Source organism: Homo sapiens, chromosome 2, assembly GCF_000001405.40.
Source record: "Homo sapiens chromosome 2, GRCh38.p14 Primary Assembly".
NCBI lineage: Eukaryota > Metazoa > Chordata > Mammalia > Primates > Hominidae > Homo > Homo sapiens.
This window is the reverse complement of record NC_000002.12, coordinates 38706920-38720866: the sequence shown is the minus strand read 5'-3', so window position 1 is coordinate 38720866 and position 13947 is coordinate 38706920. Positions and strand designations below refer to the sequence as shown.

General features: G+C 46.3%; 1 protein-coding gene and 1 long non-coding RNA gene across 4 annotated transcripts in view, besides 1 other annotated feature; one reads left to right on the top strand and one right to left on the bottom strand.

The window, feature by feature from the left end:
• GALM (galactose mutarotase) overlaps nt 1-13947 on the bottom strand; it is a 68652-nt gene that overhangs the window by 13899 nt on the left and 40806 nt on the right. The window lies entirely within an intron of this gene.
• Nucleotides 1-13947, top strand: part of LOC124905993 (uncharacterized) — a 49668-nt gene that overhangs the window by 12684 nt on the left and 23037 nt on the right. The gene's annotated exons all lie outside the window — the stretch shown is intronic.
• Nucleotides 10853-11053: a silencer, noted in NCBI's record as "peak3666 fragment used in MPRA reporter construct". NCBI's record gives its function as "represses an SCP1 promoter by STARR-seq MPRAs in K562 erythroleukemia cells {active_cell/tissue: K562}" and the evidence as "EXISTENCE:reporter gene assay evidence [ECO:0000049][PMID:32103011]".

Below are 13947 nucleotides of genomic sequence, written 5' to 3'. Positions count from 1 at the left end.
CTCTCTCAAGACATTTGCCCTTGGAGCCCTGCCACCATACTGTAAGGAAGCTCAAGTCACGTGGAGAGGCTGTGTGTGGGCTGTTCTGGCTGACAGCCCCAGCAAGGCCTCCAGCCAACAGCCAACATCAACTGCCAGACATGTGAGTGAACAAGCCTTCTGATGATTCCAGCCCTGTTCTAATCTTTTAAGCTGAGGCCCTAGACATCATGTGCAGAGACAAGATGTGCCCTGTCTAAATTCCCCGCCAATAGAAACAATTAGAGATAATAAACGAAGTGCTGGAGTAATTTGTTGTATAGCAATAGATTGCTAGTATACTGCTAGCATCTAAGAGGTGATGTTTTCACCTCCTAGCACTGACTTCACAAATTCTGACAGGAGACTAATTTTCCTCCCTGGCTCCTCCTTGCCCCCACCCACAGCCTTTTTTTTTTTTTTTTTTTTTTTTTAACATAGAAGTGCCTTCACGTGATTATACCTTAAGAACATTAATCCTTGCAATTACTTTTGGATGGGGAAAAAACAAACACAAATTTGTTAGTTTACCAATTTTTGAGCATTTTCTATGTGCCAGGCATTAAACTGACCTCAGAAAGCCTAGAATCTGGTGGAAGAGACAGATTAAAACAATAAAAATTTGTTTATTTATTTAGAGACAAGGTCTCACTCTGTCACCTAGGCGGAGTGCGGTGGCATGATCACAGCTCAATGAAGGCTTGACCTCCCTGGGCTCAGGTGATCCTCCCACTACAGCCTCCCGAGTAGCTAGGACTACAAGTGTGTGCCATTGCGCCTGGCTAATTATTATTATTATTATTTTTTTTAGTAGAGACGGGGTTTCACCATCTTGCCCAGGCTGGTCTCAAACTCCTAGGCTCAAGCAATCCACCCGGTCAGCCTCCCAAAGTGTTGGTGTGAGCCAACGCGCCTGGCCAAAACAATAAACATTTACAGGAGAGTGTGAGACATGCAAGGAAAGTGAAATTCCTAAGGCTCTAGGGGAGCAGGGAGCAGCATCAAACTCAGCCTCGGGGGTCACTAAAGGTTCTCTGAGGTGTGACAGATCCTAATCTTTTTTTTTTTTTTTTTGAGACAGAATTTCGTTCTTGTCGACCAGGCTGGAGTGCAATGGCGTGATCTCGGCTCACGGCAACCTCCACCTTCGGGGTTGAAGCGATTCTCCTGCCTCAGCTCCCAAGTAGCTGAGATTATAGGTGCCCGCCACCACACCTGGCTAATTTTTGTATTTTCAGTAGAGACAGGATTTCACCATGTTGGCCAGGTTGGTCTTAAACTCCTGACCTCAAGTGATCCGCCCACTTCAGCCTCCCAAAGTGCTGGGATTATAGGTGTGAGTCACTGCACCCAGCCAGGATCCTAATTTTTTTTTTTTTTGAGACAAAGTCTCATTTTGTTGCCTAGGCTGCAGTGCAGTGGCGTGATCTCGGCCCACTGCAACCTCCACCTCCCAGGTTCAAGCAATTATTTGCCTCAGCCTCCCGAGTAGCTGGGATTACAGGCACCTGCCACCACGCCTGGCTAATTTTTGTATTTTTAGTAGAGACAGGGTTTCACCATCTTGGCCAAGCTGGTCTTGAACTCCTGACCTCGTGATCCACCCACCTCGGGTTCCCAAAGTGTTGAGATTACAGGCATGAGCCACCGCGCCCAGCCAGGATCCTAATCTTGGAGGGTAAATTGGGATTGGCTAACTGACGAGGTGCAGGAGAGAACATGCACAGGACTGGCTCCAGCCACCAGTGAAAGTGCAGCTGTAGCACAGGCAAGACACATTTATGCCACACACATTCTACAGGCTCCTAGCGCTAACTTAATTTTGAGGGGGAAGACTGAAGAAATGGGGTAGAAAGTGAACTGGGTCTATGAACTTCTGACCAAGCACTGATTACAGGAAAATAGCTTTTTTTGTAATATTTGGCCATGAACACTCTCTCACCCGGATGAATTTTAATTAAAAGCTTTTAATTTCTCATGATCTGAAGTCATTTTTTCCCCTGCCTGGTGGCCCTCATGCCTGACTCTCTGAGAAGAGGAACAGACGGTAATGATGCTGTAAGAGTCGTTGACTCTTGACGTTCATTCATTTTTAGACTCTTCCTTCCCAACAGATCCTCTTTCTAGCCCATCTTCACACAACCCAGTAGACAGTGCAGGAATAAAACCACAGTCCTGCTACACTCCTCAGCACAGGTCCATCCTGTTTATAATAACAATTAAAAATTATTTTAAGGGAGAAAAGAAAAAAGAAAGGAAATCTGACATAGACTTCCTAGAAAAATTTGGGAAATGAGTAGGAAAGAAATTTTCTCCAATAATTTTTTCTCCCCTAAAAAAGAAATACTTGGGCCGGGAGCAGTGGCTCACGCTTGTAATTCCAGCACTTTGGGAGGCTGAAGTGGGCAGATCACCTGAGGTCAGGAGTTCGAGACCAGGCTGGCTAACATAGCGAAACCCCGTCTCTACTGAAAATACAAAAATTAGCTGGGCGAGGTGGTGGCACTTGTAATCCCAGCTACTTGGGAGGCTGAGGCAGGAGAATCACTTGAACCTGGGAAGCAGAGGTTGCAGTGGGCCGAGATTGCGCCACTGCCCTCCAGCCTGGGCGAGAGAGGGAGATTCCATCTCAAAAAGAAAAAAAAAAAAAAAGAAAAGAAAAAAAGAAATACTTGTACAAATATTAAGCATGTTATTTGGAAACTGTCTTCTGGCTGGGGGCAGTGGCTCACACCTGTAATCTCAGCACTCTGGGAGGCCGAGATGGGAGGATCTCTTGAGCCCAGGAGTTCGAGACCAGCCTGGGCAACATAGCAGGATCCCCGTCTCTGCAAAAAACAGAAAATATTAGCCAAGCATGGTGGTGCGTGCCTGTAGTCCTAACTACTTGGGAGGCTGAGGTGGGAAGATCGTTTAAGCCCAGGAGGTTAAGGCTGCAGTGAGCTGTGATTGTGCCACTGCACTCCAGCCTGGGCTACTGAGCGAGACTGTCTCAAAAAAAAAGAAAATGGTTTTATATAATTTGTTCCGTATTTTGCTTTACAAATCTATGCAAGCTGTCTTAGGGCTCACATGGACTTACTCACTGATCTTGGGTATTTCTATGCCTCTGTAAGATTCAATTTCCCCATTTATAAAATGGAGCTAAGGCCAGGGATGGTGGCTTCCACCTATAATTCCAGCACTTTGGGAGGCTGAGGCAGCGGGGATCACTTGAGGCCGGGAGTTCGAGACCAGCCTGGCCAACACGGCAAAACCCTGTTTCTGCTAAAAATACAAAAAATTAGCCAGGCATGGTGGTGTGCACCTGTAACCCAGCTACTTGGGAGGCTCAAGCAAGAGAATTGCTTGAATCCAGGAGGCGGAGGTTGCAGTGAGCCGAGATGGTGCCACTGCACTCCAGCCTGGGCGATAGAGTGAGACTCTGTCTCAAAAAGAAAAATGGAACTAATATTAGCACTTACCTGGCACATAGTGTGTGTACTCTCTCACTCTCTTTTATACACACACACACACACACACACACACACACACACACACACTCCCTTAATACAGAGACCAGGTATTAATCACAGCATAAACTTTTTTTTTTTTTCTTGAGATGGAGTTTCGCTCTTGTTGCCCAGGCTGGGGTGCAATGGCGTGATCTTGGCTCACTGCAACCTCGGCCTCCCAGGTTCAAACGATTCTCCTGCCTCGGCCTACCGAGTAGCTGGGACTACAGGCATGTGCTCCCACGCCTAGCTAATTTTGTATTTTTAGTAGAGACGAGGTTTTGCCATGTTGGTCAGGCTGGTCTTGAACTCCTGACCTCAGGTGATCCGCCTGCCTCGGCCTCCCAAAGTGCTGGGATTACAGGCATGAGCCACTGTGCCCGGCCCCATAGCGTAAATCTTTCATGCAAAAAGGAAGGTGCATTTCTGCCTCCAGAGCACACTGTCATTTTCATTAGAGTACTTAAGGTTTCTGTTTTTTGTTTGTTTGTTTGTTTTTTAGAGTCAGGGTCTCTTATGTTGCCTAGGCTGCAGTGCAGTGGCTATTCACAGGTGCAATCACAGCTCACTGCAGCCTCAAACTCCTGGGCTCAAGCCATCCTCCCACCTCAGCCTCTTGAGTAGCTGGGACTACAAGCACACACCACTGTGCCTGGCTTATTCTGTTTTCTGAAGCTTCCTCTTCTAGTGATTTTTAAATTGAGAACAATGGTTTTTAAATGATTTTTTTGAGTCATGAACTCCTTTGAGAATATTATAAAAGTTATGAGATCTCTCTCCAGTAAAATGCACACACACATACAGAATGTTCCCAGAGCCTCTGAAGCCCCGCCATGCATCCCTGGCTAAGAATCCTTGGTCTATAGAATATGTTCTACTTATAGTGCCATTCATCACAAAACAAGTTGCACCGTCATGACCTGATGTTGAAATGCACATTTGGAATCTCACAGTCACATAACCTCAAGTGTTTGCTCAAGCAACACAGATTCCTCCCATAGCAATGTGGCAAAAACTTTGTGTAGTACACCAGGGCCTCCTTCTGGACTGTTTATGATTCCTCCATACTCTTGAACACGTACACAACAATCTGACACGCGAAAGGCGCAGAAGCTGGTCTTAATCTGAGCAAATCAACAGCTTTCAGAAGCTGCAGGGAAATGAAGCATCAGAGAAAGTGAAAATTGTCCCTAATGATAGCTCAGAAAATAGGGCTGATTAGGCAAACTGCATATCCCTGGGTTTCAGTGGATCCCAGAAGTCATGGATTACCAATCACTGTTACCACCCTCCTAGGAGCATCCTGCTCACCTGTTTGGCAGTTAAACTCAATAGAACAGATTTTAGAGTCAGGCAGGCCTGGATTTAAAGGCTGGCTTTCTTTGCTGTATAAATTTGTGGAGGCTGCTTAGCTTCTCTGAAGCTTGGTTACCTCATCTGTAAAATGGGGATAACGAGACTCTACCTCATAGCATTATTGCGAACACTAAATGAAATAAGGCATGTAAAGTGCCCAGCACCCTACTCAGCAAGTGGTAAGTACTCAGTAATATGGCTGTTACTATGGACAGTAGCAGAGGGAAATAACAGCGTAACTCTGGAGTTAGGAAAACTCGATTGCAGGCCGGACACGGTGGCTCACGCCTATAATCCCAGCACTTTGGGAGGCCAAGGTGGGCAGATCACTTGAACCCAGGAGTTCAAGACCAGCCAGGACAACAAAACCCTGTCTCTACAAAAAATACAAAAATTAGCCAGGTGTGGTGGTGCATACCTGTGGTCCCAGCTACTCAGGAGGTTGAGGTGGGAGGATCACTTGAGCCCAGGAGGATGAAGCTAAAGTGAGCTGTGATTGCACCACTGCACTTCAGCCTGGGCAACACAGCAAGGCCCTGTCTCCAAAACAAAAAATAAACAACAAAAACGCCTTGATTCTAGATTTTGACTTCACCAATTACTTACCAGTTTAACTTTGTGCAGGTTACTGAACTCTCCCATTTTTAGCTTCCTCAACTGAAGCACTGAAATATACAGACTTGCTTAAAGAATTTTAAAAGCAAGACCCAAGTATATGCTGCCTTCAAAAACTCACTTCACCTATAAAGACACATAGACTGAAAGTGAAGGGATGAAAAAAGATATTCCACAGAAATGGAAACCAAAAGTGAGCAGGAGTAGCTATTGCTTGCATCACACAGCATAGACTTTAAAACAAAAAATGTTTAAAGCGACAAAAAAGTTCATTACATAATGATAAAAAGGATCAAGTCAGCAAAAGGCTATGACAATTGTAAATATGTATTCACCCAACCCTGAAGAACTCAGATATATAAAGCAAATATTATTAGAGCTAAAGGAAAAAAATCCAACTATAGGCCCCAGTACAATCATAGTTGAGAACCCCTTTCTCAGCATTGGACAGATTATTTAGACAGAAAATCAACAAAGAAACATCACAGGTAAACTATACTATAGACCAAATGAACCTACAACATTGATCTTACTCTTTTATTTCCAATGCTAGTTGACTATCCATTGAAAACTAGTCTATGACTTTAAAGCAAACATACTAGGTTTTCTTACTGGTTGTTACATGCTTCTCAGAATTATCTGTATTGGAGTGGTTCACAAATTGGAAATCAAATATTGAGGGGATTTGTTAGTTTGTTTCAGTTTTGCTGTTTTTCTTCTTTTTGTTTGTTTAACACAGAAAGTGGTTACTATTTTCTCCAGTGGCTAAAAGGAAGGACTAGAAAGCAGATAATTATTATATTGCCTTTTTCTCTACACTTGGCTCTGCTTGAGAGCCAAGTGGGTTACACCCTGTTTCAAAGTGTAGTTCAGCCGGGCGCAGTGGCTCACCTGTAATCCCAGTACTTTTGCAGGCTGAGGTGGGCGGATCACTTGAGGTCAGGAGTTCAAGACCAGCCTGACCAACATGGTGAAACCCTGTCTCTACTAAAAATACAAAAATTAGCCGAGTGTGGTGGTGCACGCCTGTAGTCCCAGCTAATCGGGAGGCTGAAGCAGGAAAATTGCTTGAGCCTGGGAGGCAGAGGTTGCAGTGAGCCGAGATCACACCACTGCACTCCCGCCTGGGCAACAGAGCAAGACTCCATCTCAAAAAACAACAACCCCCCCGCAAAAAAAACCCCAAAGTAGTTAAATGAGCTAATAATGCATGTACTATATGTGTTTAGACATGTCTGGTACATATTAGACACTCAGTAAATAGTGGCAATAAAGATGATGATGGTACTAATAATAGTTAATACTTACAAAGCTCTTACTAAATGCCAGGAACTGTTCTAAGCACTTTATATGTATTTTTTTTTTATTTAGTTGTCACAACCAATAAGGTAAGTCCAATTATTATCATTGGATGAGGCCTATAGAACTCAAATAAATTGTCCTAGATCACACAGCTGGTAAATTTTTTTTTTTTTTTTTGAAGCAGGGTCTTGCTCTGTTGCCCAGGCTAGAGTGCTGTGGCACGATCACAGCTCATCACAACCTCGACCTCCTGGAACCAAGTGATCCTCCTGCCTCAGCCTCCTCAGTAGCTGGGACTACAGGTGTGTGCCACCATGCCCACCTAATTTTTTAATTTTTTTGTAGGGATGGGGTATCTCTATGTTGCTCAGACTGGTCTCAAACTCATGAGCTCAAGCAATCCTTCTGTCTTGGCCTCCCAAAGTGCTGGGATTACAAATGTGAGCCAGCACACCTGACAAGATTTCAACCTAGACAGAGCTTGAGACCATGCCCTAAACCACTGTTTTCCTGAGAATAATGTGTCAAAATCAGCCCTGTAAATCAGCGATTCAAGATCACTTCACTAAGGTTTGAGACACTTCCCGTTTCTGGCTGGAGCTCCCCTGCCTGCCCCATCAGTTTTCATGGCATGAGGGGGGCACCACTGTCCAAGAACAGGAGGACTGCTAGGGCCACATGCTGTTCTAAGAGAACCAAGACAGCCTTCTCCAAATCTTTCTAGATCTGCCGTTAGGATCAGTCAGCCAATGGCCACTGACTGCTCTAGTATGAGAGAGACAACCCTTCTGCCTGACCACACCAAGAGAAGGCATTCAGGGTTTGCTTGATGATTTCATGAGGGGAACATATTGGGGTGGAAGAATGTTCCCTGCATGCTTATTTTGCTACTTCCCAGCAGCTTGGGTAGGCTCCGGTGACAATGGTGTGATTAGGGAGCCCATGCTGATGGCAGACCCAGGGCCTCCTGCTCTCCTCCAAAAGTCGCAAGGCTCCCACAGTCACGACTCACAGGAAGCCAAGAAGGGCACTAGGGACAGGTGGCAGACATCCCAGCATCGTGAAAAGGGTGGGTAATTGAACACAGCTAGGTTACATTAATCACCCAGGGTCAGAGAACAGAACCAGGAAAGGAGAGAGGGGAGAAATCAGTCCAGCCTTTCTGGTCACTTGGCCCAGGAGCAGTGGCACAAAATGGTTTTATGTGGGGGATTTAGCCCCTGTAATCTCTATCAGGGCACCCCCTGCTTGCACATCGCCCCAAATAAACATACAACCTAAATTCGAGGCCAGCCCCAGCCTCCGCTCTGATGAGATTGCTGTCCTGCGCTCCTCCTTTATAGAAACGCAGGCAACACCATGGCTGCTCAGTCACCTATGGTTTAGTGGGAACATAGAGGCTTTCATTTGCACTGCTGGAGTCAGAAGCAGGGAGCCCTGAAGCCCAGGGACAGTCTCCTAGATCTAACTATCTGCGGGGATTAACTGGTCATTATCGCCTCTGGGATGTGTGTTCTGCAGACCCTGCTTTCTATTTGTTCCTTGCATCTGGCCCTGCCCAGAGGACTGATTTCAGCAACTATAAATTTGGAGGGTGCTGTCCATCTTGGAAAGGATTCTGGAATGGAGACCTGAAAGCGAAGAGGAAACATGTTTCCCAGGAACCAAATACAAATATGTTCAAATACAAATCATGCCTGACCACTCTCTAGGCTTCTCTGAGTGGGTTACAAGACTACAGGCTCAGGGAGCTTCAGGAGATATGCACCATCAGGGCTTCAGTGAGCACAATCTGTAGGGAATTGCCACATGGCCTCTGACCTTGTGTATGACTAGGTGAAGATACATATTTTTCTCACAATATAACAGACAGCATGAAGCTAGGAGGCAGATACACTTGGGATGACAGAACCAGGAATCCAAAAGATAGTGTAAAGTAAGGGTAAAATGCTGACTAAAAGAAGAAATTTATGAATAGCAGGAACAGATATGGTCTTGGACTTTAGTCAACAATGAAACAAAACCAACCAAAGGACACTGCTCAGATTTAGCTTCTTGTCACTGTTACCCTGGGCACAAAACATAATCTTGTGAGGCCCCACTTCCTCACTTGTAAAACTGGGATAACAACAGCCCCTACAACATGGAGTTGTTATGAGAATTAAATCAGTAAATGTAGGCAAAGCACTTACTTAAGATAGTGATGATGTTGATGATGATGATGATGGTGGTGGTGATGATGGTGATGATGGTGGTGATAGTGATGATGATGATGGTGATGGTGATGGTGATGGTGGTGACAGTGATGGTGATAATGGTGGTGATAGTGATGGTGATGTTAATGATGATGGTGTTGATAGTGATGGTGATGGATGATGATGATGGTGATGGTGACAGATAACACACAGTGCTAATCATAGTGCTTCTCACTAGGCAGTCTCATTCCAGAGACTATGTTCTTAACCACCTTGCTATACTAACTCTCATAAGTATTAAGTATAATTATTATGATAATAACTGACTAGGAAGAAATGTGGCTGATCCACAGCATGGGTGAAAATGAATTTAAGGATGATGGCTGACAGCAAGTTCAACACGAGTCACATAAAGGCTATCTGTAAGGCCAGGTGTGGTGGCTCATGCCTGTAATCCAGGCAATTTGGGAAGCCGAGGTGGGCGGATCACCTGAGGTTGGGAGTTCGAGACCAGCGTGACCAACGTCGTGAAACCCTGTCTCTACTAAAAAATACAAAAATTAGCCAGGTGTGGTGGTGCGCGCCTGTAATCCCAGCTACTCAGGAGGCTGAGGCAGGAGAATCGCTTGAACCTGGGAGGCGGAGGTTGCAGTGAGCTGAGATCGCGCCATTGCATGCCAGCCTGGGCAACAGAGCGAGACTCCGTCTCAAAAAAAAAAAAAAAGGCTATCTGTAATGAGGTGGTGACAGTCCCAAGCTACTTTTTGCAGCATGGGTATCACAAGAGGAGAGGCCTAAAGACACATAGAGCAGGATCAGAAGGAAATGACCAGGGGCTGGTGCAGTAGCTTACGCCTGTAATCCCAGCACTTTGGGAGGCTGAGGTGGGTGGATCGCCTAAAGTCAGAAGTTCAAGACCAGCCTGGTCAAGATGGTGAATCCCCGTCTCTACTAAAAATACAAAAATTTGCTGGGTGTGGTGGCAGGCACCTGTAATCCCAGCTACTCGGGAGGCTGAGGCAGGAGAATCGCTTGAACCCAGGAGGCGGAGGTTGCAGTGAGCCAAGATCGCACCATTGCACTCCAGCCTGGGCAATAAGAGTGAAACTCCGTCTAAAAAAAAAAAAAAAAAAGAAGGAAATGACCAGTATGACCAAACCATAGCATAAGAAAAATAGCCAAGACCAGGCATGGTGGCTCATGCCTGTAATCTCAGCGCTTTGGGAGCCTGAGGCAGGAGGATCACTTAAGCCCAGGAGTTTGAGACCAGCCTGGGCAACATAGTGAGACCCTGCCTCTACAACAAATTTTTTAAATAATAGCCAGAGGACCTGGCATGTTTTGCCTGAATAAAATACTTGGGGGACATGCCAGCCACTTTCTAATGCCTTAAGCCTGCTACATAGGATCCAAGGCCCAGAAGTAGGCCAGGTGAGGGTGAGCCCTAGGTAGACAGATCTCACCTCAATACAGGAAGGCCTTTTTGACATGTTGACCCAAGATGCACAGTAAGCATCCTGTCCCAGAAGCATCTGAGTGCTGGCAGAATGCAGAAGTCTGGGACTCAAACACTGGATAGGGGAGTAACTATTTTATAGGCTCTAAATAGCTCCTCCAAGTGTGGACCTAGGACCATCTGATGACCACATGCATCACCCAGGGGCTTGTTAGACACATAGATCCAGAGGCTCCACTCCAGCCACTGAGTCTGAATCTGCATTTTCACAAGTTGCACAGGTGATCTGTGTGCACATGAATGCTGACAAGCACTGATGTGGAGATCATCTGAGGAAGCCCCAGGTTCAGGTGGGCTGCTGCTCTGAAAAGCAAAAGTTGGGAGGGACACTGGGGCAGCAGGAAGAGCACGTGGTGCTAGAGTCTGGTCTCCATGAGGATAGCCCAGCTGTGCTTCCAGCCCAGCTGCTCCAATTATGTCTGTTTCTTTATCTAGTCGGGCTCAGAAGAGTCAGTCAAATTTGCATAAGGAGGCCTGCGGTAAAGGGGCTCATGGGCACAGGTACTCATCTGACACCTCATTAAGCCATCTTCGTAAATCATCTCTAGAATGCCTGTTGTTATTTTAGGAAACAACATAAAGAGGATGATAATTAAAAGTAACACCCTGGGTGGGAATTTTTACTTCCTTCCAGTGGTTGGCAAGTAAAGCACCTTGGGAATTTTTTGGTAAGGTAACATTTCTATACATTTTTCACAGATCACACAACATCAAAGCTTGTCTATGCTGCAGGTTTTTTTCCCTTTCCTCTGCTGGTGCTTTGGGTTTGCGGCTTTATTCTGTTGCTGGCTTTTTGTCTTATGTTTTTTTTTTTTTTCCTTTCCACCGAGCATTTTCTGATTTTACCTTGACTTGCAACGGGGGAGGGTATTGCTTCTGGATGTTAGATGACATCCGAAGCATAAAATGCTAAACCAAGCTGCAGGTCGTTTTCAGGTGAAAAGGCAATTTTACGCTTCATGGTTGGGACCACGTAAGGCATTTTCATGGTGGGGTATTTTTCATCTTAGATCCATCAGGATGACATCCAGGGATTTGCTGTCTAGTAGAAAGTTCACCTTTCAGTTACCCACTGTCTGTCTGCAGCCTCCTAGTCCTGCTGCTCTCCTGCACAGGCACAAGGGCATTCCTGCTAGACCTGCTCCCCTCCTGGGACTGCCAGGCCCCTGATGTTGCCATATTCCCCTGGTTTTCAGGGCCCCTTGCCACGCGTCTTCCCTGTCCCCCACAACCCTCACTGCCTACCTGTCTAGGCCCACTGTCTAGGACCTGAGACCCTTAGTAACACTCCTTGATCTGCCTTACACCCTGTCCTCCTGCTCCTCCTCTCTGATAAAACCCCAACTTCAGGTCATCCCACCATTTGCCTTCTCTGCTCCTGACTCCGCCCTGCCGAGAGAGCTGGAGAAAGCCCACAGAAGCACCGGCAGAGGCCACCACAGATTCACGGTCTCAAGCCTTCCCTGGATTCCTCTGCTCTCTGACAACCATTTTACTTGTCCTAAATCAGCTCCTCTCCTTCAAAAAACAAACAAACAAACAAAAAAAACTGTTATTTGACCCCACTTCCCTGCCTCACAGAGGAGCCTTCTCTTTGTCACAGCTTGTTGACAGCACTTTCTTTTTTTTTTTTTTTTTTCTTGAGACAGAGTCTCGCTCTATCACCCAGGCTGGAGTGCAATGGCATGATCTTGCTCACTGCCAGCTCCGCCTACCCGGGTTCATGCCATTCTTCCTGAGTAGCTGGGACTACAGGCGCCCGCCACCATACCTGGCTAATTTTTCATATTTTTAGTAGAGGTGGGGTTTCACCATGTTAGCTGGGATGGTCTCGCTCTCCTGACCTCATGATCCGCCCGCCTCGGCCTCCCAAAGTGCTGGGATTACAGGCTTGAGCCACTGTGCCCAGGCGACAGCACTTTCAATACCAGTCCTTTCTGTTAACTCACTGAGGTAGCTTCTAGGATGCTGGGACAGATTCCATGGCCCTGTGCTAAAGCAAATGAATCAGAATCTCTGAGGTGGGGCCCAGGATTCTTTTTTATTTATTTTTATTATTTTTATTTTTTTAGAGACAGGGTCTTGCTCTGTCACCCAGCTGGAGTGCAGTGGCGTGATCACAGCTCACTGTAGCCCCTAGCTCTCTGGGCTCAAGAGATACTCTTGCCTCGGTCTCCCAAGCAACTGGTACTACAGGTGCAAGCCACCATGCCAGGCTTTTTTATTTTATTTTATTTTATTTTATTTTATTTTATTTTAATTTTGATACAGTTTCTCACTCTGTTGCCCATGCTGGAGTGCAATGGCATGACCTCGGCTCACTGCAACCTCCGTCTCCCAGCTTCAGGTGATTCTCCTGCCTTAGCCTACCGAGCAGCTTGGATTACAGGTGTGTGCTACCACGCCTCGCTAATTTTTTATTTTTAGTAGAGACAGGGTTTCACCATTTTGGCCAGGCTGGTCTTGAACTCCTGACCTCAAGTGATCCACCCACCTCGGCCTCCCAGAGTGCTGGGATTATAGGCATGAGCCAGCACACCCGGCTGCTAATTTTTATATTTTTTTTGTAGAGATGGGGTCTTGCTGTGTCCTGAACTCCTGGCCTCAAGTGATCCTTCCGACTCAGCTACCCAAAGGACTGGGATTATAGGCGTGAGGCACTGTGCCTGGCAGGGTTCTGTATTCAAGAAAGCTGCCTAGTTGGGAACCAGTTATTGGCCTATATTCCTGAATCTTTCCTCACTTTTTGTCACTTCTCAAACGGTTACAGTCTGGCTTCTGCCCTGACCACTCTGTTACATTCTTAAACGGGGTCAGGACAACAACCACCACAGCCATGCAGGTTCCCAGGTCTCCTGCCACTTGACTCCCTGGAGTATTGACACTGTTGGTCACTCCAAGACTTCTAGACACCTCTTCTCCTTCTTTGCCTTCTACCCCTGGCCATCTCCCTTGGCACTTTAAGGTAGACCCTTTTTGGACCTTAAATATTGGTGGTTGTTTCCTAGAGTTTCCCAGGGTTTGGTCCTCAGACCACTGCTCTCCTCAGTCTATGATTCCTCTCTGGTAAATCCACGTGGCTTAATCTACAAAGTACACGCTGATGTATGCCTCCAGCTGTCATTTCTCTAACGTCACACTCATGCATCCAGCTGCTGGAAGTGTAAGGTCAGGTGTACAGGGGAGATGTACACCCCACAGGCACCCTAACCTCAAATATTTCAAGATCAAATCCATAGTTCTCCCAGCCCCCCATGCCAGCTCCCCCTCCTCCCCTACTCACAACTCACTGAACATCCCCATCTCTACTGCCCAGCAGCTGCTCTAGAGTCCCGGGGTCATCACACAGCCTTCCTGCTTCCTCATCTATGCATTCAATTCAGGCCTCCTGAGTTTTACCTCCTAAATATGATTAAACTGCCTTCTTCCACCTGACCCTTAATTTGGGTCT